This window comes from Homo sapiens, chromosome 2 (genome assembly GCF_000001405.40).
Source record: "Homo sapiens chromosome 2, GRCh38.p14 Primary Assembly".
In the NCBI taxonomy this organism is placed as follows: domain Eukaryota; kingdom Metazoa; phylum Chordata; class Mammalia; order Primates; family Hominidae; genus Homo; species Homo sapiens.
Genome location: NC_000002.12, coordinates 136,474,641 through 136,496,583, shown reverse-complemented (window position 1 = coordinate 136,496,583; position 21,943 = coordinate 136,474,641). Strand labels below are relative to the sequence as shown.

Genomic DNA, 21,943 nt, shown 5'->3' with positions numbered 1-21,943 from the left:
GTAGACATTGGCGTCTTTCCTCTGAAGCCTATACCCAGTATTCTCTAAGTAAGCCCCTTCTCCAAGTTTCTTCAGATGGTGGTTAGGCTAGTCCAAAATACCAGAGGGGTAAGCAGTCCAAAAAAAAAAAGAGGAAAAGGAGTAAAACAGAAGCTTTTCTGAAAACAATTTACACTTAGAAACCTAACTAAAGGATGAGACATCATCGTCTCCTCATGTAACCTGCATTTTCTGGGCACCCACCATGTGCCTGGCATGGTTTGCAGAGCAGAAGAGACAGCAGTGACAAGACCAGACCCCCTTTCCTCACCAAACTTTCTTCCTCTGTGACACAGGCAATCATCAACTAAAAACTAAATATATATTACATCTGGTAAACAATAAGTGCTGAGAGACTGAATATACAAATGGACAGTGGCCAGACTGTGTATAAAAATAGAACCAGTCCAGGAAGACAATCTACTATATATCTAAAGTTATCAATTCAGGAAGTCAGACTACTATCTGTAGCAACCAGTCCCGGAAGCCAAACAACAGCCCAGGTAATGATCAGCCCCAAATGGCAAGGCCGGGATTAATCACTGACTGTCCTTAATTTTTGTTCCTGCTCCCAACTCAGGACAAACCAGAGGAAGTCAAATATGCGTCCCTCACCAATCACATAGGATGCTGTGCTTCTAGTGAGCTGCCTATGGCTTTTCCACACCAACAGCCTCCAGTCAGGGTGCCCCTGAGAACTTCCCTTTTCTCCACTTTCAAGCTTTCTCACCCCTCTGCCTGCCCGCGAGTCTCGGCCCAACAGAAGTGATGGTGGCTGCTGCCTTGCTATAGCAAGCTCTGAGTAAGCAGCCTTTGCTTATTCTCATTTGGGTGGTCTTTGTTGATTTCTGTGGGGTTTTGAAAGTAAATAAAGCAGATTAGAGGAACAGAATGGTAAATGGATGGGAAGTTTGGGAAGGTGGTGGTGTTGGAGTCAAGTCCTGAAAAGGGAGAAGGAGGGAGTGGAGGATAGAGTAGGAGGGAGGGAGGGAGGGAATTAGAGAGGGAGGAGGGAATTAGAGAGGGAAGGAGAGAAGGAGGGAGGGAGGGAGGGAAAGAAGCAGGGCAGGAGGGAACCATGTGACTCTGGTGGAAAAGCATTCCAAGCAGAGGGAATAGCAACACAAAGCCTGGAATGGGCAATAAGCTGGCATCTTCCAGAATTAACAAGGAGAAGAAAGGAGGGAAAGAGTTCTGGGGGAGGGGATCGGAGAGGCAGCCACCAGCCAGATGGCAGGTGGCATGGGGCTTGTCAGCCACAGGAAGGACTCGGAACCTCCTCAGACGCTGTTAGTTGTGAGCAGGGCATATCCACACTCCACCTGCTGTGTGAAGAACAGGGGTCATGGGGGGAGACTGAGACTAGGTGGGAGGCCACGGCAATGATCCACATGGAAGATCCTGGCAACCCCGACTAGTGTGGAATAATGAGGGTGGTAAGAGGTGGCCAGACTTGGGATGTAGATATTGGACTTGCTAAAGTGTTGAATGTGAGGTGAGAAAGAAGGTGAGAAACCAAGGATGGCTCCTACTCTCCTCCTCTCCTGTTCTCCAGCCAATATGAGTGACCCCTCCACACCCCCACACTCTCACTACCATTCCTCTTTAAAGTTCCTTGCCCAGCAGTACAAACAGAGATCAAAGAAAGCAGCCAATAGTGAAGGAAGCCAAGCATGTGGCAAGTTTCTGTGGAAGAAAGGACAGAGTAGTAACAACCAAGCCAGAGTGGCTTTTGCACAGAAAGACCTAAAGGTCTAAAATGCACCACCCCAGTCAGGAAACCCCAGGCCCCTCGGTGCACCTTCCTTCAGAGGGCCCAAGCTTCTTTTGTTTTCTCAGTCAGCTTCACCACCCTTTTCTGGTGGTGCCATCACTTGTAGCCAATATTGTCAGTGCTCACACCCTCCAACCCCCTTACCATGTCTGTGCAAGCCTGCTTGATCCAGACTAGAGGGGCCTGGGAGTGACTGCACCTTCCCACCCCCATCCATCCCTCTTCTCTGCACTCCCCTACCCACAAACAGCAGCCCTGGACCTACAGCTGACAGGTGTGGGGTATAAATACCCCAGCTTTCTCATTCCTGACTAGGATGGTTTTGAGGTGTGTGTTTTGCACCATTTTCCAAAGTGTCTCCTGTGGAACCAGCCTGTCAGTACCCTTCCTATCTCACTCTCTCCTCACCTAGCAGCACCCATGATCCTCCCATCAAAAGCTTCCCCTTTAATTCTTGGCTCAGGGTCCGATCCTAAACTCAGATCACCTATGATATATTTTTTAAAATTTCACGCCTATAATCCCAGCACTTTGGGAGGCCGAGGCGAGCAGAACACCTGAGGTCCAGGAGTTCGAGACCAGCCTGACCAACATGGCAAAACCATGTCTCTACTAAAAATACAAAAATTAGCCAGGTGAGGTGGTGCACGCCTGTAATCCCAGCTACTCGGGCAGCTGACGTAGGAGAATCGCTTGAACCTAGGAGGTGAAGGTTTCAGTGAGCCGAGATCACACCACTGCACTCCAGCCTGGGAGACAGAGTGAGACTCCATCTCAAAAAAAATTTTCTTAATTGTTTTTTAGACAGTGTCCATGTGATGCAAAATTTTAAAAAAAGATCTTGTCCAGACCTTGGTTACTAGACAATACCATTGTCCCCTAAAGGGATCAGGCTTCTTGGAGGAAAGGCTGACTCCAGGGTGTGGCAGGGAAGGTATGAGACAATCATGGAACATCTTACTGTACCAAAAAGTAAGGATCTGCTCAAGAACAATAGGGACATATTAAAGGGACATGACAGCCAGCTTTAAGGAATTCTTACTGGCTAAATTTGGGACGATTCAAACAACAAAAAGAAGTAACAGTAATGGGCCATAACTTATCAAATAAAAAAAGAATCTAGGAGTCTATACAGATACTAAAGATATTAAATAAGTAAACACAAAAGAAGGAAAAATGTTTCCTTTTAATAGAATGCTGACTAATAAATATAGAGGGAATGATAGATTAGTAAAACTCTATTTTACAACCATCAAAGCACAAATTGAGGCAAAAAAGTCATTAATGAATGCTAAATCTAGGAAGGAAAATTTAATAAGGAATAGGATATTTATTTGGTCTCAAAATCTCTCCCCACAAATTACTAATTTATAAAAGAAAAAAATGGTAACTATACAGTAGAAAAAATGGACAAAACAAAGACCATTTCCTTAGACATGCCTAATGATTCCCACTTCTTCCTTCCTGAGGAGGAAACGGAAAATAAAATCAGAACCTCACTGACTATCTCACGTATACCTTCGTTATATATGCTGTGCTTACGTTATGCACTAGTTACATAGACACGGGGGTAGCACATTTCTAATACTCCTTTGACAGTTTTCATACACTTAGGTTTTGTTAGAGAACCACACCACATCTGGTGAGCCCTTACGCAATCATTCTTCAAAACCATCAGTGTTCAGTGTCAAGATACAAAAAGACTGAGTGGTTGAAATTGAGCGAGCTAACCCTTTACTGATGAGTTGTAATGAGGCCAATGGTCCTCAAGGGAGCTACCATCACGTTCAGTCCTGGATAAATATGCATTCTACTCCTTTTGTGCAGCTTACACCACCTTCCCTTCCTGTTTTATCTACATATTCAAACATCACATGGCAGCATAATTGTATTTCTCTTCCTTCCCCTCCAAAAGGTTGAGGCTTTTTCGTTTTTTTTTTTAACCAATTCTTTCAGGTTCATCATTTAAGATTTAAAAAGTTTCATACCTTTTTTAACAGCATGTAATGGGCTGAATGATGAGCCCAAAAAAGATATGTCCACATCCTAATCCCTGCAATGTGTGAATGTCACCTTACTTGGAAGTCTTTTGTAGATGTATCTCAGCTGAGGATTTAGAGATAAAAAGATTATCCTGGATTATCCCTGTAAACCCTAAACAACATCACAAGTATCCTTATAAAAGACAGGCAGGGGGTATTAGACACCTCTACAGAGAAAAAGATGACATGAAGATGGAGCAGAGAGAAGCAGACACAAGCCAAGGAACGTGGACAGCCACCAGGAGCTGGAAGAGGCCAGGAACGGGTTCTCCCCTAAAGCCTCCCACAGGAGTGTGATGCTGGGCACCCTGTGATTGCAGACTTCCTATCTCCAGGACCATAAAAGAATAAGTTTCTGTCATTTCTGACATTGCCACCAACCTTATGGCAATTTGTTATAGCAGCCACAGGAAACTAATACACAGCAGAACCTGTCTTTCAAATGAAATCTTACACAGATCCCCCCACCAATATGTAAAAGGAGAACTATTGTGGTCAAGTGGGAGTGTGAAGCAGCAGCCTCCCATCCCTTCCCTTGCAAGTCATCTCTCCTCTCCCACCCTCTCCCTTCCCATTGATGGGGAACACTGAAGGCAAACTCCCCATCCATGTGGGAGCACCAAAGCTGCTCCATGAAACAGTCTGAAAACCAGTCTTCCAAAAATCCTCATCATAGTCATTATTCCAATGCTTTAATTCCCTGGACATTCATCCCATGCATCCAGTTTTTCTCTCCTTGCTTTTCTATTTAACTAACCCTTGCCTTGTGTGTGTGCCTTTTGTAAAAGGGGCATGCAGGTTGCACAGCTGGCTCTCAGTCTCTAAGCCACACCCCCCAGGAACTCTCTGCTGTTAACGACAGTTCATTCTGGTTTCTCTCCTGTTTAAAACTTGTAGTTTGGTGTCACCCTCTCTTCTTCAGCATCCCATTTTGATCCCAACTCCACCCCTCAGGGTTTGTTCTTGGCCTCCTCCAAAACCTTTCTTTTGACTTCTTTTGATGTTTTTCAGTCTCAGACTCATGACTTGACCCTGGCTTGTAGTTTCATCTTGTGCACACCCTGAAGCTCTCTGATCCATCCTGCGTTTCCTGGCACCCTGCTCCAGGCCACACATTTCTTCCCCATGAAGTCAGCAGGGGTATCCTGCCATCCCTTGCAGGCTTTCTAAAGCCAGTAGAATTATTTCTTCAAGCACTGTCCAGAGTTGGTGTGCATATTTCAATGTCATTGATAAGCCATGATTCACACCCAAGACGGAAAGGTAAAATCACTTGCCTTATTAAAACTTAGTGAGTAGGACCTGGACAAATACAAGAACCAAAGCACCTCTCATTCATGCATTTTTTTAGTTGGCTCCTGCCCTCAGTATTCCTCTTTTCAGAGACCTCCCAGGATTCAAGTAAAACTTGGGGGTAGGTGGGGATGGACGGAAAGGGTAAAATAGAAGTGAGGGCAAGAATTAGAACTGTCTATCAAATAACCAACTTTGTCATGCAATTTGTGTTCCTGTTAGGTCATAATTTGAAGGCTGCCTACACATTTTTCTCAGCATTTTTATTGTTCAATTTTAAATGGCATTGACATAGCAGCTGCCCATGCAAACTCTCCCAACTTCTCACAAAATACAGAGGCTGCTCAGCTTTCATTAATTTGCCTTCCAAACAGTCTGTACATTCCAAACACTACATATTATCACTCCAAACCTCTCTGTGTATGCTAAATTCTGATTGTCATGCAACTGCCTAGAAATAATCAATTCAAGCTATCACATAGTGGTGTTACCTGCGGTTCCATTGTTTACTTCAGTCTAGAAATGTTTATGCAATTGTTTTTATGTTTATTGTATTGTCAAATTGTTTTATAAAAATGAGTCAAAAACAGAAAAATGAAAGTGCTGATACCAGGGATAAGAAGTATAGGTCATATAAACTTAACAATTGAGACAAAGATGAAAATCACTTAAGCAGCCTGAAGACAGAGAATCTTTCACCTTAATCAGATTCTCACTGGACTCAGACAGGTCAATTGCATGTTCAATTAATTGTGAAGGAACAGAACACAATTAAAGAACATGTACCAAATGTTGGCAATAAATCATAAATGATTGTGTTTAAAAAACGGAGGTGTAATTAGTGGTTTCATCACCTTTTTAGCTTTCTAGGAATGGAACTCCTACCTCTTTTATATCAAATAAGTCTATTGTCTGGCTTTCCACATTCAACCCTTGTACAAACTTTCAAGAATATACGAAAGGAAAGAACAGCTTGTACTTATGACAACTGACGTCTAAACTTGCATCAACCTAACACCATGTATCCAAAATGAATTTACTTATACTATAAAGCAAGTAGAACTTGAATGAGAACATCTGACCATGGGCTTCTCCACAGGACAGAGACCACATGAACAAAAATACAATGACAAAGAGCCTAAAAATAACTACCTACGTAAAAGGTTACTTAAGGCTGTGGCATTTGTCAAAGCAAAAGTCTGGAAACCCAAATGTCTCTCCATAGAGGGCTGTTAAGTAGCCTATGATACACCATAGGGAACCATGTAACCATATAGCAGAATCAAGATCTCTATGAATAAATATGGAGTAATATATATTCTATAATGCATTGTTAAGCAAAAAAAAATCAAAGTATAAAATGTTATTAGAGCTCAGCATGTTTTTGTAAGAAAAATGGGGGAATGAGTATACAAAGACACACACACAATTTTGCTTATTTTTTAAAGAAACATAAATATTGACTAATGGTTGTCTACAGAGAGTGGTGATTATAAGGATTATAAGGTGGAAAAGAAAGGAATAGAAACTTCTCTAAAATATATTTTTGTATATAATTTTGATTTTTGAACCATGTATAATATATATATTTTACATATTTAAAAATTAAATTAAAAATAAGCATAAATTTTCCATAGAAAATATGAGGTCTTGTTTCCTTGCCAAAGAAACAGCACTGGATGCCAGCAGATAAAAACCATCTACCATCCCCTAGGTGGATTTCAGAGAGAGATAATGGAATGGAATACTCACCTTCTCAGCAGTAGATGCCATGAGCACTGGTCCTGATGCTAGTGCTCACAAGCCTATGTAAAATCACTCAACCTCTCTTTCTTCTCATCTGTCAAATAGAGGTAATGTTTACCTTATATGAAAAAGGAGTAAATAATTTAAAAGATTTTATGTAAAAATAGGCCTTAAAATCACACACAATTGGAAACAAATGAGTCTAATTGCATATAAAATTGGTAATCACACAGAGAAAATCAGTATTTAAAATTTCTTTGAATACAAAACTATGACTGTACCTTCTTAGGGGTATATATTCTAAAAGTAAAAAATAGCAAATAAACCTTAAACTTAGTTGTTTTACTATTAACATTAATATTAGAATTTTAGTTTTTAAAACTATTTTACAATTACTATTTCAAAGGAGGAGGTTTTAGGCCAAGAATTGTATACCCAGCAAACTTGTTTCCCAAGGCAAAGTTGCAACAGGCTACCAAACATTCCATTGTGGAAAAAGAAGTCACTAACAATGTACTCTAGGAACCAAAAGAAGAATCACATTTAAGAGCTCAAAAATGTGTCAGTTATGGGATAAAATCACTTCCCTTACTCTGTTTGGGCCACAAACTTAATGTCTGTTGGATTCCATGTCCTCAGATGGATTTCACATCCCAGGGGAAGCTTGGCCCAACAGTGCTACTCTTGGCTGCTTTTTCTCCCTTATCAATTCCAGAAAACATCCATTCTTGAATTCTGTTCTCTATCCCAGAGTTCAAATAAAAGCTTTTGCCATGTTTGAGTGCCACTTAAAATGACCTATATTACTCTATTCCGGCACTTGCTCTAATAATAGCTAAACTCTTTACATGGTTAAGATGCTGTGCTGGGAGAATCACTAAAATATTTTTCTTTTTTCTTCCATAAAAGTAGAGCTACATAGAGCAATATAATAAGCATTTTCATTGCCAAAGAGCTCAAGTAATGATTTTCTGCAACTTTAAAATTCATATTGAATGGCCTAAGTCTCAGAGTTGTCTTTTTTTAATTGGTGAAAACCAAATAAAAACTAGTCTATGGAAAATATCATCTCCTCCAAACCCTATCCCATCCTCCACCTCACAGTTACAAATGTCCCTGCATTTACTATATTTTAAACTTTGAAACAAATACATTTTTAAATGCATAGAAAAAACTATATGATGATACATTAAAATAGAACAACAGCATTTATCTCCGGATGGTGACATTCTATGTAATTATTTTTTCTTTATACTTTTACATTTTTCAAGTTTTCTGCAAAGCACATGGATCACAAGAACAAAAATAGATGTTTAACTCAGTATATGTAATTTTGTATATAGAATATGATCATAACTATGTTTTTAATCGGCAAAAAAAATCAACAGATAAACTTAATCCAGTTACTTTTTCCTGAGTGGTAAGAAAAAGATGATGATTACTTGTTCTCTTTTTTCTCTCTGCTTTTCTATATTTTCCAAGTTTTCTGTGATGAATGTATATTATTTTTATAATGCTTAGGGTATTTTTGTGGTTGTTTTCATGGTGGGGCAAATAACAAGTCAAAATCAGTCACTAATCAGTTGAGTAACAATGAGTAACAACCAGACTAGTTGTTACTCTTTGGAAATGAGGTCAGGGGATAGGAAAGAAGGAAACATCAAGCCACTTTCATTCTCAGACACACTGACCTTCCACACCTACTCCAGCCACAAAATGAGCAACAAACAGAAGTCCTTATTTGATTGATCCTACCAACCTACCCTTCTCATCCCCAAATTTTCCACCGTGCCATGAAATCGGCACAGCCCAAACACCCACATGAACATTCTTTCTGCCTGACATGTGCATTGAAGAGCTGCATGTTTATTTGCAAATAAAGATGCAGTTGCTCTGTAAAGCCCAGAATTAAGTGCCCTAAACAGATTTTGAGTTTACAGGACTCTTTCTAACTGCATTACTTTTTCCCTAATAAAGTTTCCCCCTTGCTGCCACAGTAGAGAAAAAACATTTTATGACTCGCCTTTAAAAATGATATAGTGGGAAGCTAATAGCACAACAAGAAATTTGATTCCCCTGATGGAAAAAACAGCCCTAGCAGACATTACTCTGTAGCAACTAATAGCCTGTAAGTACAAATATCTCTGTTTTTTAAAGCATCTGAGGGTAAATGCCTGCTGTGCATTTTGTAAAAAATTGACGAGTTTTCTTTTGCTATTGTGTTAGCCTGGGTGAGCTAAAAGGAAGAGAAGTGGCTGCTCTACCATGGGCTTCAGAACTATTTTTAATAATATGTGTTGCTTCTGCACTACATGATGACAAGGAACATGCAGGGGTGGGTGCTATTACAAGTCCTCACCCTTCCAGTGTTTATACTAGCATTGCACTCGTGATCATTTTTCTTCTGGCTTTGCTGTGAGCAGAATAAGACTTTTTGTTGTTTTATTTTCCCTAATCTCCTTCACTGTGGTATCCAATATTTCTTGGGGCCCTTTGGTGCACTTTGGACCAATGTCTTCAAGAAACTCATCTATGATGCTTTACTAATCTCATTCTTGGATCGTCATTTTCTCAGTCTCTCCCCTAGTCCACACTCCAAATGTGAGAGACAGCTTTTCTCATAGCGGAAAAAAACCTGGGCCTTGGAGCCAGACAGACTTTGATTCTAATCCCAACTCAGCTACTTACTAGAGTTTATGAGTTAGAGCGGGTAACTGAGTATCTCTAAAATTCAACTTCGTCACTTGAGAGGTGGATTAATGGCACATCACAAGACTGCCACAAAGAAAACGGATACCCTATATAAGGTTCAGTAGCAGACCTATTGAAAGGTAGCTGTTACTCCAATCAATCACACCATTAACGTTTATCCTCACTGACCTCACCTGTCAATGTCCTGCCTTGTAAGATATTGCTAAAGGTTTTTTTTTTTTTTTGAGATGGAGTCTCGCTCTGTCGCCCAGGCTGGAGTGCAATGGCGCTATCTAGGCTCACTGCAAGCTCCGCCTCCTGGGTTCAAGCCATTCTCCTGCCTCAGCCTCCAGAGTAGCTGGGACTACAGGCACCCGCCACCACGTCCGGCTAATTTTTTTTTTTTTGTATTTTTAGTAGAGACGGGGTTTCGCCGTGTTAGCCAGGATGGTCTCGATCTCCTGACCTCGTGATCCGCCGGCCTTGGCCTCCCAGCGTGCTGGGATTACGGGCGTGAGCCACCGCACCCGGCCTGCTAAGGGCTTTTCTTACTGCCTTGTTATCTCACTGCTTGGATGAGTTTTGTGTCGTTCTGGGCTCTAGATATGTTCTTTTGTGCTTCCTCTTTTTTTCTTAAAACTCTTAAATATCTTTGGTCTCAATACCAGTCTTTCTCATTCCCCACTGTTAAACATTCTCTTGCAAAAAGTTTTTTCCTCTTTTTTTTCCTGCATTGACTCATGCTTTTATTCAGCAAACATGACTGAGTGCATGGGACTTCCCAGACCTGTGTGTTCCCTGAACCAAACGCCACATGTTCTCAATCATGGGTGGGAGTTGAACGGCGGGGGCACATGGACACAGGGCGGGGAGCATCATGCAGGGGGGCCTGTCGGGGGATGGGGGCCTGGGGGAGTGATAGCATTGGGAGAAATACCTAATGTAAATGAAGAGTTGTTGGGTGCAGCAGGCCAGCATGGCACATGTATACCTGTGTGGCAAACCTCCACGTTGTGCACATGTACCCTAGAACTTAAAGTAAAAAAAAAAAAAAAAAAAAAAAAAAAAAAAAAAAAAAAAGAATCAAGAGCCTACAAATTATATATACGCTGGTATATAGAACTTGGTATATAATAGTACTGAAAAAATTACCATTTATTAAATAAAATTGGAATAATAGGATATTTCAGTGGGAAATAGAGAAAGTAAAGTTTATCTTACATGCAAAAATATGTTAGTCTTTGTAATAAAATGAATGCCGATTCAAAAATAAAAATATTTATTTAAAAATAAATTTTCAGAATCAACAAAAAATGAGCTCTAATTGTGTAATCCTCCAATTTAATAAAGTGTCAATTAAATAGTGCCTTAAAATGATGTCATAATTGGGAAATTTATGAAACACTCCAGTTTTATTAAAATGTACTACAAAATCACTATTGTAATTAAAACAGTTAGCTTACCTTAGAACTGCAATGGAGGTCAAACTAGTAACATATTTATAATGCTAAAATAAATGCATAATCTTTGGTAGTTCATTTTGTAATTTGGGAGCTAAAAATCCTTCCCAAAGGGAAGAATTTTTTTTTTTTTGACCTCTAACCTTTCAATTTTTTTTTAATTTTACTTTTGATTCTGGGATACATGTGCAGAATGTGCAGGTTTGTTGCATAGGTGTGCATGTGCCATAGTGGTTTGCTGTACCTATCAACCTGTCATCTAGGTTTTAGGCCCTGCATACATTGGGTGTTTGTCCTAGTGCTTTCCCTCCCTTTGCCCCCCACCCCTCAACAGGCCCTGGTGTGTGTTGTTCCCCTCCCTGTGTCCATGTGTTCCCGTTGTTCAGCTCCCACTTACGAGTGAGAGCATGTGGTGTTTGGTTTTCTGTTCCTGTGTTAGTTTGCTGAGAATGATGGCTTTCAGCTTCATCTATGTCCCTTCAAAGGACATGATCTCATTCTTTTTATGGCTGCATAGTATTCCATAGTGTATACGTGCTACGTTTTTTTAATCCAGTCTATCGTTGATGGGCATTTGGGTTGATTCCCAGTCTTTCCTGTTGTGACTAGTGCTGCAATAAAAAAAGGAGCTTCTGCTCAGCAAAAGAAACTAGCATCAGAGTAAACAGGCAACCTACAGAATGGGAGAAAATTTTTGCAATCTACTCATCTGACAAAGTTCTAATATCCAGAATCTACAAGGAACTTAAACAAATTTACAAGAAAAAAACAAACAACCCCATCAAAAAGTGGGTGAGGGATGTGAACAGACACTTCTCAAAAAAAGATATTTATGCAGACAACAAACATATTAAAAAAAAAAGCTCATCATCACTGATCATCAGAGAAATGCAAACAAAACCACAATGAGATACCATCTCACGCTAGTCAGAATGATGATTATTAAAAAGTCAGGAAACAATACATCCTGGTGAGGCTGTGGAGAAATGGGAACCCTTTTACACTGTTGGTGGGAGTATAAATTAGTTCAACCATTGTGGAAGACAGTGTGGTGATTCCTCAAAGATCTAGAACCAGAAATACCATTTGGCCCAGCCATCCCATTACTGGGTATATACCCAGAGGATTATAAATCATTCTAGTATAAACACACATGACTCTCCATCACTTTTATCTTCTCTTTGATCATACCTTGTGTATCGAATTCAGTTAATTTGTATTATTTTATATTTATTTACACTGTCATCATCAAGAGAGATATGTAACATCCAAAAAAAAAAGGAAAGTGAAGCACCTGCCTGGCTGCCCAGAGCTCGCAGTCTAGAGAGAGAAAGATGAGCACACCCATGACTATGCCAGAAGTGAGGCTGAACATTTTGTAAGAGATTTTTACTTTGTGAGATCAAATAGTCACAAGACAGTACACTCAATATGACCTGCATAAAGCCTGAAGCCATGCTAAAGCAGAAAATGCCTCAAAACTATCTGATATTTCCAGGTTAATAATAAAAAGAGGAGGTGGTGAAGAAAATATAGTATGACTTCACTTATATGAAATACCTAGAATAGCCAAATTCAGAGCCACAGAAAGTAGATTAGAGGTCGCCAGAGGCTAAGAGGCAGGGGAGAATGCAGAGTCATTGCTTCACAGTTATCGAGTTTTGGTTTAGGGTAATAAAAAAAGTTTCTGAAACAGTGCTGATGGTTGCACAACACTGTGAATTTAATTAATGGTATGGAATTGTACACTTTAAAATGCCTAAAAGCACAGATTTTATGTTATATATATTTTACAACAATGAAAAAAAAACACACAAGGAGGTGAAATCAAAATACAGAGTTAAGGACAGCAAAATATTCCTTCCCACCACATCCCAGACCCGCCTGACTACCCATGGTTCCATATACACACCTTTCAGAGTAATTTAGTCAGTTCGTGTTTTCTGAAAGCTCACTGTGTGTCAGGTACCATGTTGAGGGCTGAAAGAAGAATAAAAAACATTTCATGTCCGTGCTCAGACCAGATCCACAGCTCAAAGTGCCACTGGCCTGTATGTCTTGCTCAAATGCCACCTCCTTCAAGAAGCTTCTAAGATGAACAGGTAGAAATGAATTGCTGTCTCTTCTGTGCCCCCGTAGCTTTTGTTGCCCCAATATGTAAGCCCTCATTATAATCCCCCTTGTGTTCTGCCCTTTGTATGTCAGTCTCTGCCCTATGCCATGCCTGCCTGACTCCAGCTCTACCAAACTCCTTCAAGTCTATAGTCAATCTCTTCAACCTCGTGCCCATCCCTTTACATGCTGCATAGGCACAGTAAGCACTCAGTGCTTGGCTTCTGCTATCTGGAGAGCAACATTTTCAGAGCCTGCCAGCAGCCCAATAGCAGGCCCCTCCCATTCAGTTATTAATCACTTAATCCTCTCATCCTTCCTCATGGCACTGCCTTCATAAGCTGCTTCTTAACCAGTAGTGAAAAGAGAAAAGGTGACTATTTTTCCTTTGTAAATTAGCCTTAACATCAGGAGTGCTAGGATGTACTCAGCACGGGTCTCCTATTCCCGGCTGATAAAAGGAATACACCTATGAGTGTTCAATGCACAATAAGTATTTTAATTCCTGATGAAACCAATCATTATCAATCAAAGAAATAATGTTGGCAAGATTAAGAAGAGCAGAAAGGGGAAATATTCAACTGCACAAACAAAAAGAATGTTTATAATAAATAATCAGCAGTCCTAGAAAGCTGATTCCTCCTTCATTGAGCTCTAACCAAAACACTTATACATGTGAAGACAGAAGAACCTGGATGCGTTTATATTTATATTTTAATGTACAAGCCTTTTGTGAGGACAAAACACAGCATAGTTTTGAACCTGTAGTAATAAGAGCTACCTTTTATTAGGTACTTACTACATGTCAGATACTATTATAGTTGACATATATTAGCTTATTGAACCCTCACAACAATCTAGGGAAGACATAAATACTGTCACCCTGAAGACACCAGCACCCAGAGAAGGTAAGTCCCTTGTCCAAGGGTCATACAGCTGGGAAGTGACATAGGAATTAAACAGGTTTTCTGATTCCAAAGTTAATGTTGTATTCAGTACCCTAAATCAACTCTTTGCTGGTCCCTATTACTTTCTGCTTTTGCCTGTCTTTTTACTTTTGCCAAACACCCAGGGGGTTCATCTTTGATCACTGCCTTTATTTACTCCCTATACAAAATGAATCTGCCTCCAACATACATCCTGAATTTTGACTACGTCTCTCCTCCTCCAGTGCGCAAATTCTGGTCCAAGCCATCATCATATCTGGCCTGGATCCCAGCATGGCCTGCCAACTTACTTACTTACTCTGCTTCCATTCTTACTCCCAACATCCTTTTTTTCCATGTGCCAACCAGAGTGATCTTTTTAAAGGATGAATCTGATCTTACCACTCCTCTGACTAAAACTTCCAAAGTTTCCCATTGACTTTAGAGTAAAAATCCTAGCTCTCACCATGACCCACAAAGCCAGCCAGTATCAGAGCTCCCTCTCTGACCTCATCTACTAGTCTCCCCTCCCCTGTATCCCCAGTCCCCTCCACTGTCTTTCTCCCTGCCCCTTCCAAACATGCAATTTTGGCTCACTTGCCTAGAATACTTCTCCTGCAAGCCTACTTTACTTCCTTTGGTCATCTCCGAGGAACTTTTCCCATCCTTTCTAGCTAAAGTGCCAGCTCCCTCCCTGCCACTTCTCCTAGTCATTTTCTGTCCTGTATCACATTTCATTTTCTTCCTAGTACCTTGGTATTCATTGGGGTTTTCCAGGGAAACCGAACAAATATGAGATACATATATTTGAGGGTTTGTTATGGGAATTGGCTTACACTATTATGGAGGCCAAGATGTCCCGCGCTCTGCCATCTGCAAGTTGGAGAACCAGGAAAGCTGGTGGTGTCATTCAGTCTAAGCCCAAAGCGTGAGAACCAGGGGCACCACTGGTGTAAGCCCCCAGAGTCCAAAGGCCTAAGAATAAAGATCTCTGATGCCTGAGATCAGGAGAAGATAAGTGTCCCAGCACAAGGAGAGAAGGAGACAACTTGTTCTTCTTCCACTTTTTGTTCCATCAGGGTGCTCAGTAGTTGGATGATGCCCATCCACATTGGTAAGAGCCATCTGCTTTACTCTGTCTATCCATTTAAATCATAGACTATTCCAGAAACACCTTCTCAGACACACCTAGAAATAATTACCAGCTACATGGGCACCCTTAGCCCAAACTGACACATAAAATTAATCATTACAGGAGAGACGGATCAAGAGGGCTGACTAGATGAAGGTAGTGTATGCCTTCTCCATAGAGAAGAGCTAGAATAGTAAGCAGAAACTCAGATTTTGAACAGATCATGTAGGAGAGAATGTTGGGATTCACCAGAGAAGAGATGGAAAGCACAGAAGTAAGTAAGAGGGTTCAAGGCAGCTCGCCCAGCCAGGAACCAACTGAAAACCAAGGAAGGCTTCTGGATGCAGGAAAACAGTAAAAGAGAAACCCCCAGGGTTCCAAAATGGGCTTTTACAATCTTGGCTACCAAAGAAACCTTCAACCCATTAGGCTTTGGGCCTGACATACGGAGCTGCCTGAAGTTTGCACAGAGATGTTGCTCCAGAATGGGAACCCAGACAAAATCCCACAGGCATCTGAGCCTGGAGAAGGCTCAGCTGGCAGCCATTTTGAGAGCCTTGATACTGGGGATCTACAGACATGGCTGCTGCCACTGTGCTGCCCCAAGGATGGGGAGGGGAGACAAGACCCTCCCACATGCCCCTGGGAGGGTCCCTGCCACCCTTCTGCGGGCTGATGTTGAGAATGAGACAGGAGCAGACCATACTCCCCATAGCTTCTTACCCACACTGCTTGCCTGGAAGGAACCCCACCTTCTCTGTTTCTAGGCCCAGGGCACCATTTTCTGAGTTTAACACTGGGCTGTGTCCTACCCTCAGCCCGAGGTTGGGCTAACACAGCTGCAGCAACCACCCAGCCAAGGAGAAACAGGGAAACCAGGCTATCCTATGCATATCATATCTAAGGTGAGACCCATTACTCTGCAATAGGCTGCTGTTTAGACTGAGATGTGAACAGGCTGCACTCCTCACAGTTTCCTGTCCACACTACTTCCCTGAGAGGTGCCTTGCCCTCTCTGGTCCCAGGACCAAGATGCCATTTTGACAGTTTAACATTGGGCTGCAACACACCTTCAGACTGAGATTGATCTGACATGGATGCAGCTGCCACCCACCCAAGGAACAACAGGGAAACCAGGCTATTCTATACACATCTAGGACAATATCCATGGCTCTGCAATGGGTTGCTGTTGATATTGAGTCACAAATGAACCACAGTCCCCACAGCTTCTGGCCGATGCTATGCTGCCTGCCTAGGAGGAGTCACATCCTCCCTGGTCACAGGCCCCATGCACCATTTGTGAGTGTAATGCTGGGTTACATCCTACCTGTGGGCCAAGTTTGACCTGACATGGTTGTGGCTGCCTCCCTGTAGAGGAGAGACAGGGAAGCCAGGCTCTCCTATGCATACCTAGGACAATACCCAATGCCCTGTTGTGGGCTGCTGTGAAACTGACACTCATGCTGACAGCACTCCCCACAGCTTCTTGCCCATGCTGCTCGCCTGAGAGGGACCCCGCCCTCTCTGACCACAAGCCCACAGCTGGCACCATTTTGAGAGTTTAACACTGGGCTATGCCCCACATTCAGGCCAACTTTGAGATGATGTGACTGCAGCCACCACCCAGCTTGTGGAGGAACAGGGGACAACCAATGCTCCTAAGCACACTTAGGACAATACCAACCACCCTGCTATGGGTAGCTATGGGATTGGAGATTATACCACCCAATCCATCACAACTTCCAGTAACATCAACACAGTGTGCTTGGGTCCCATTGGGTTGCTCCACTACCACTACTGCCATTACCCACACAATACTAGCTGCCCAGGGACCTGAGGATGCACCCCCACACTAGGCCCATCTCTCCTACCACTACCTTCTAAGCAAACCACCTGGAGCTGCTCAAGAATCAGTGCTCCAGGACCTACTAATACCAAGCCAATATCAGCTGCTGTGGGGTCTAGACACAAGCACACCCACCCAACTTCTGCCACTACTGGGGCCCAAAGACTGGCTCAGTTGGTGTCTAAGTCCCCAGGTAAACTTCATCACAACCTCAACTAACAAGTATACCCTAAGTCACTGAGAAAATCACAGAGACCACTGACGAGGGTAATGTCAAAGAGGTAATACAAAGATCACATTGCCTCAGACACTCAAAATCAAAGACAAAATATCTTAATCAACAACACATATACTTAATTAGGAAAAAATTCACCCATACAAAAGCAATTTCAAAAAATTGCAATAAGCAAGTGCTACATCAGATGTGCAGAAATCAACAGAAAGACACAAGAAACATGAAAAAGCAGGGAAATATGACACCACCAAAGGACCACAATTTTCCAGCAGTAGACCTCGATCAAAAAGAATTCCTTGCATGCCAAATAAAAAACTCAAAATATTGATTTTAATGAAGCTTAATGAGATTCAAGAGAAATCTCAAAACAAATATGAAGAAATCAGAAAATAAATCCAGCATATGTATGAGAAATGTATCTAGGAGATAAGACATGTTTTTAAAGACACCAAGAGGAAATTCTGGAAGTAAAAAATTCATTGAAGGAAATGCAAAATACATTGATAAACTTCAATAACAGACAAGGCCAAGCAGGAGAAAGGATCTCAGAACTTGAAGAGAGGTATTTTGAAATAATCCAGTCAGACAAAAATAAAAGCAAAAGAACTGAAAAGAATTTTAAAAACCTGTGAAATGTTTGAGACTACATAAAGTAACTGAACATACAATTACTAGTATTTCTGAGGGGGAAGAGAGAATATTCAGAATGTCTAAAGTCAAAGTGAAAGGAAGAATTTTAAAATTAGCAAGAGAAAAGTGTCTAGTCACCTACAAAGGAAACCCCATCAGACTAACAGTGAACTTTTCAGCAGAAATCTTACAAGCAAGTAGAGAATGAGGTGGAATTTTCAAAGTGCTGAAAGAAAAAACTGTTAGCAAAAAATTTTGTAGCTTGTCAGAATAAGCTTCATAAACAAAGGAGAAATAAAGTTCTTCCCAGACAAGCAAATGCTAAGGGAATTAGTCACCATTAGACTGTTCCTAGAGGAAATGCTCAAAGCAGTCTTAAACATGGAAACAAAAAGTTGACATTCACCCTCATGAAAACCCGGAATTATAAAACTCACAGTTTATATAAAACAATGACACAAAGGGGAAAGAGGAAGGAAACCAATGGCAACAACACAGAATTTCATCAAACCACAAAAACAAAAAGACACTGAAAAAGAAAGAAACAATTTATAAAGCAACTTGAAAAAAATCAATATGATGACAGGAACAAAGCTTTACATATCAATATTAACCTTGAGTATAAATAGATTAAGTGCTCCACTTAAAATATACAGATGGGCAGAATGGATTAAAAAACATGATCCAACTATATGTTGCATACAAGAAATTCAACTTACCCTTAAAGACATGTATAGACTGAAAGTAAAGGAATGGAGAAAGATACTTCACATGGACAGAAACCAAAAGTGAGCAGATAAGACAAACTTTAAATCAAAGTCAGATACCTATATGAGGTAAGACAGACTTTTAATTAAAAAAAGAAAAAAAAAGACAAACAAGGTCATTATATAATGATAAAGGATGCAATTCAATAAAAGGATGTAACAAAACCTAAATATATATGCACCCAACATTGGAGCACCCAAATTGGAGCACACAAAATAAATATTACTAGACCTAAAAAAAGAAGATAGACAGCTGTGTAATAATAGTGTGTGATGAGGGGTTAACATTCCACTCACAACACTAGACAGATCATTGACACAGAAAATGAACAAAGAAACATTGGACTTAAATTGGACTTTTAGACCAAATGGACTTAACAGACATTTACAGAACATTCTACACAATAACTGCAGGGTATACATTCTTTTCATCCACACATGGAACACATGAGTAGTGATTGTATCAGCAATAAAAAATCTTCCAATTTAAAGAAAAAAAAAAGGCTCTGGACCAGACAGATTCACAGCCAAATTCTACCAAATATACAAAGAACTAATACCAATCCTCCTGAAACTATTTCAAAAAAAATCAAGAAGGAGGGAATTCCCCCTAACTTATTCTATGAGACCAATATCACCCTGATGCCAAAACCAGACAAGGACACACACACACACACACACACACACACACACAACAGACTAATATCTCTGATGAACATACACATAAAATACTCAAAAAAATACTAGCAAATTGAATCCAACAGCACATCAAAAAGATAATACACCATAATCAGGTAGAATTATCCTGAGGATGCAAGGATGACTCAACATATGCAAATCAGTAAACACAATACATCACATGAACAGAATTAAGGACAAAAACCATAAGATAATCCCAATAGATGCAGAAAAAGTATTTGATAAAATTCAGTATCTCTTCACAATAAAAATTCTCAACAATCTAGGCATAGAAGGGATATACCTCAACATAATAAAGGCCATATATGACAAACCAACAGTCAACGTCATACTTAATGGGAAAAAGTTGACAACAGTTACTCCAAAAACTGGAATAAGACAAAAATGCCCACTTTAAACACTCTTATTTCACGTAGTATGGAAGTCCTCACCACAGCAATCAAGCAAGGGAAAAAAATAAAAGGCATCCAAATTGGAAAAGAAGAGATCAAATTATTCTTGTCAAATTATAACTTGTATACATATACATACATACACCATCACTATATAAACTACTATATATATATCACTATAACATAAATCTTTTAAAAAGTGAAATATATATGTATATACTGTAAATATAGTGATATATATACACATAGTATATATGCGCATATACACACAGTATATATGCGCATATACACACAGTATATATGCGCATATACACACATAGTATATATGTATATATATCACTACATATTACAGTATATACAGTATATACATATCATTATACTATATATATATATATATAGTGTGTGTGTATATATATATATACCACAAATGCTACTGAGCCATAAAAAAAGATAAAATCACATCTTTTACACATCTTTTACAGCAACATGGATGGAACTGGAGGCCATTATCTTCAGTAAATTAACTCAGGAACAGAAAGTCAAATACTACATGTTCTCATTTGTAAGTGGGAGCTAAACAATAGGTACACCTGGACATACAGAATAGAATCATAGACATTGGAGGCTACAAAATGTGGGAGGGTGGGAATGGAGTGAGAGTTGAAAAATTATCTATTGGATATAGTGTTCACTATTTGGGTGGTAGGTACACTAAAAGCCCAGACTTCACTACTATGCAATATATGCATACAAGAAACCTACCCTTGTACCCCTAAATATATAAAATATATATACAAATTTTAAAAAACCATCACACTTTTAACTAAATTTTATCATTTATTTATTTAGATACTCATTGTTGTCTACCCATCTTCACCCTTTAACTAGAACATAAACTTCATGAAGGCAGATACTGTATGTCCAGTACTTGGAAGACTGGCTAGTATACACCAGATGTTCAGTGATTACTGATTCAATTAATGTGAGTGGTTCCCTCTATATATCCTTCCATCCCATCTGCACCTAACTCCTACTTGATCCTCTAAACCTAGCTGAGAGATCACCTTTTCTGAAAACACCCTTCCCAGAGGAATTTCAGCTACATTTCCCTCCCCTCTGCACCCTCTGCTCTATTCTATCAGAACATTTCTCAAACTCCACTGTAAATGTCCACCTCCCATACTGGATCATTACCTCCTCTGTCTTTTATCTCTATATCCCTATTCTCTAATATAGTCTGACTACTCAACAGCTACTTGACATATGTTTGTAAAATAATAAACAAATGAATCATTTAAAAATTGGTTTTATGGAGGTAAAAATGTTTGTGTGGGAATACTTCTTGAAGTGCTTTTCGAAGACACTACACTAAAAAATCTAAACATTCAAAAAAATTATGCTTAATGTCTTAAAGTTTACACTGAGAACAGCAGTCAAGTTGAAAGTCTTCAGTTGGAGGGAGGGAATGCTATAATCGTGAGTAATAATACATAGGAAATAATTAGTAAATCCTGGTTGGTTAATTGACAGGGTGAGATGAATAAGGCCTTCCCAGACATAAATGTCTCAGGCACCAGCCACTGCAGGCAGCCAAGGTCATGGTGAAGCCTCATAAAGCCTTTCCCAAAACAGAGCACAGAGCACACTTTTCAAAAAAGCCTGGATAGCTAAAATTCCCTAGATGTTCTGTCTCTATTTGCACAGCATGTGTAAACCAACAAATTCTAAATCCTTGCATACCCTCTCTCTAAACCCATGGCAATAGTCTCTCTCTTGAGAGCAGTCTTTGTCCATATTAACCCACCTTTCAGGCTACACCCATACCCCACTCTTCTGATTTGGGGCTTTGTTTTTTTAAGATGTGTCTGAAGATATCTCGTCTCACCAATGTATGGTTGCTTTTTCTAGCTTGTCTTAAAAAGCTCTAGGGATACATCACTGCTGACCCTACGCCACCTATATGACAACAGTCTGGAATTTTTTTTTTTATTATACTTTAAGTTCTAGGGTACATGTGCACAACGTGCAGGTTTGTTACATAGGTATACATGTGCCATGTTGGTTTGCTGCACCCGTTAACTCATCATTACATTAGGTATTTCTCCTAATGCTATCCCTCCTCCAGCCCCCCACCCCACAACAAGCCCCAGTGTGTGATA

The 21,943-nt window shown here is 40.2% G+C and overlaps 3 annotated features.

The window, feature by feature from the left end:
* Positions 679-878: an enhancer, noted in NCBI's record as "active region_16591". NCBI's record gives its function as "activates an Ori minimal core promoter by ATAC-STARR-seq in GM12878 lymphoblastoid cells {active_cell/tissue: GM12878}" and the evidence as "EXISTENCE:reporter gene assay evidence [ECO:0000049][PMID:35858748]".
* Positions 10,274-10,333: an enhancer, noted in NCBI's record as "active region_16590". NCBI's record gives its function as "activates an Ori minimal core promoter by ATAC-STARR-seq in GM12878 lymphoblastoid cells {active_cell/tissue: GM12878}" and the evidence as "EXISTENCE:reporter gene assay evidence [ECO:0000049][PMID:35858748]".
* Positions 13,211-13,469: a silencer, noted in NCBI's record as "fragment chr2:137240685-137240943 (GRCh37/hg19 assembly coordinates)". NCBI's record gives its function as "represses an EF-1alpha promoter that drives an FKBP-Casp9 reporter gene in an ReSE screen in phorbol 12-myristate 13-acetate-treated (for megakaryocytic differentiation) K562 erythroleukemia cells {active_cell/tissue: K562(+PMA)}" and the evidence as "EXISTENCE:reporter gene assay evidence [ECO:0000049][PMID:32094911]".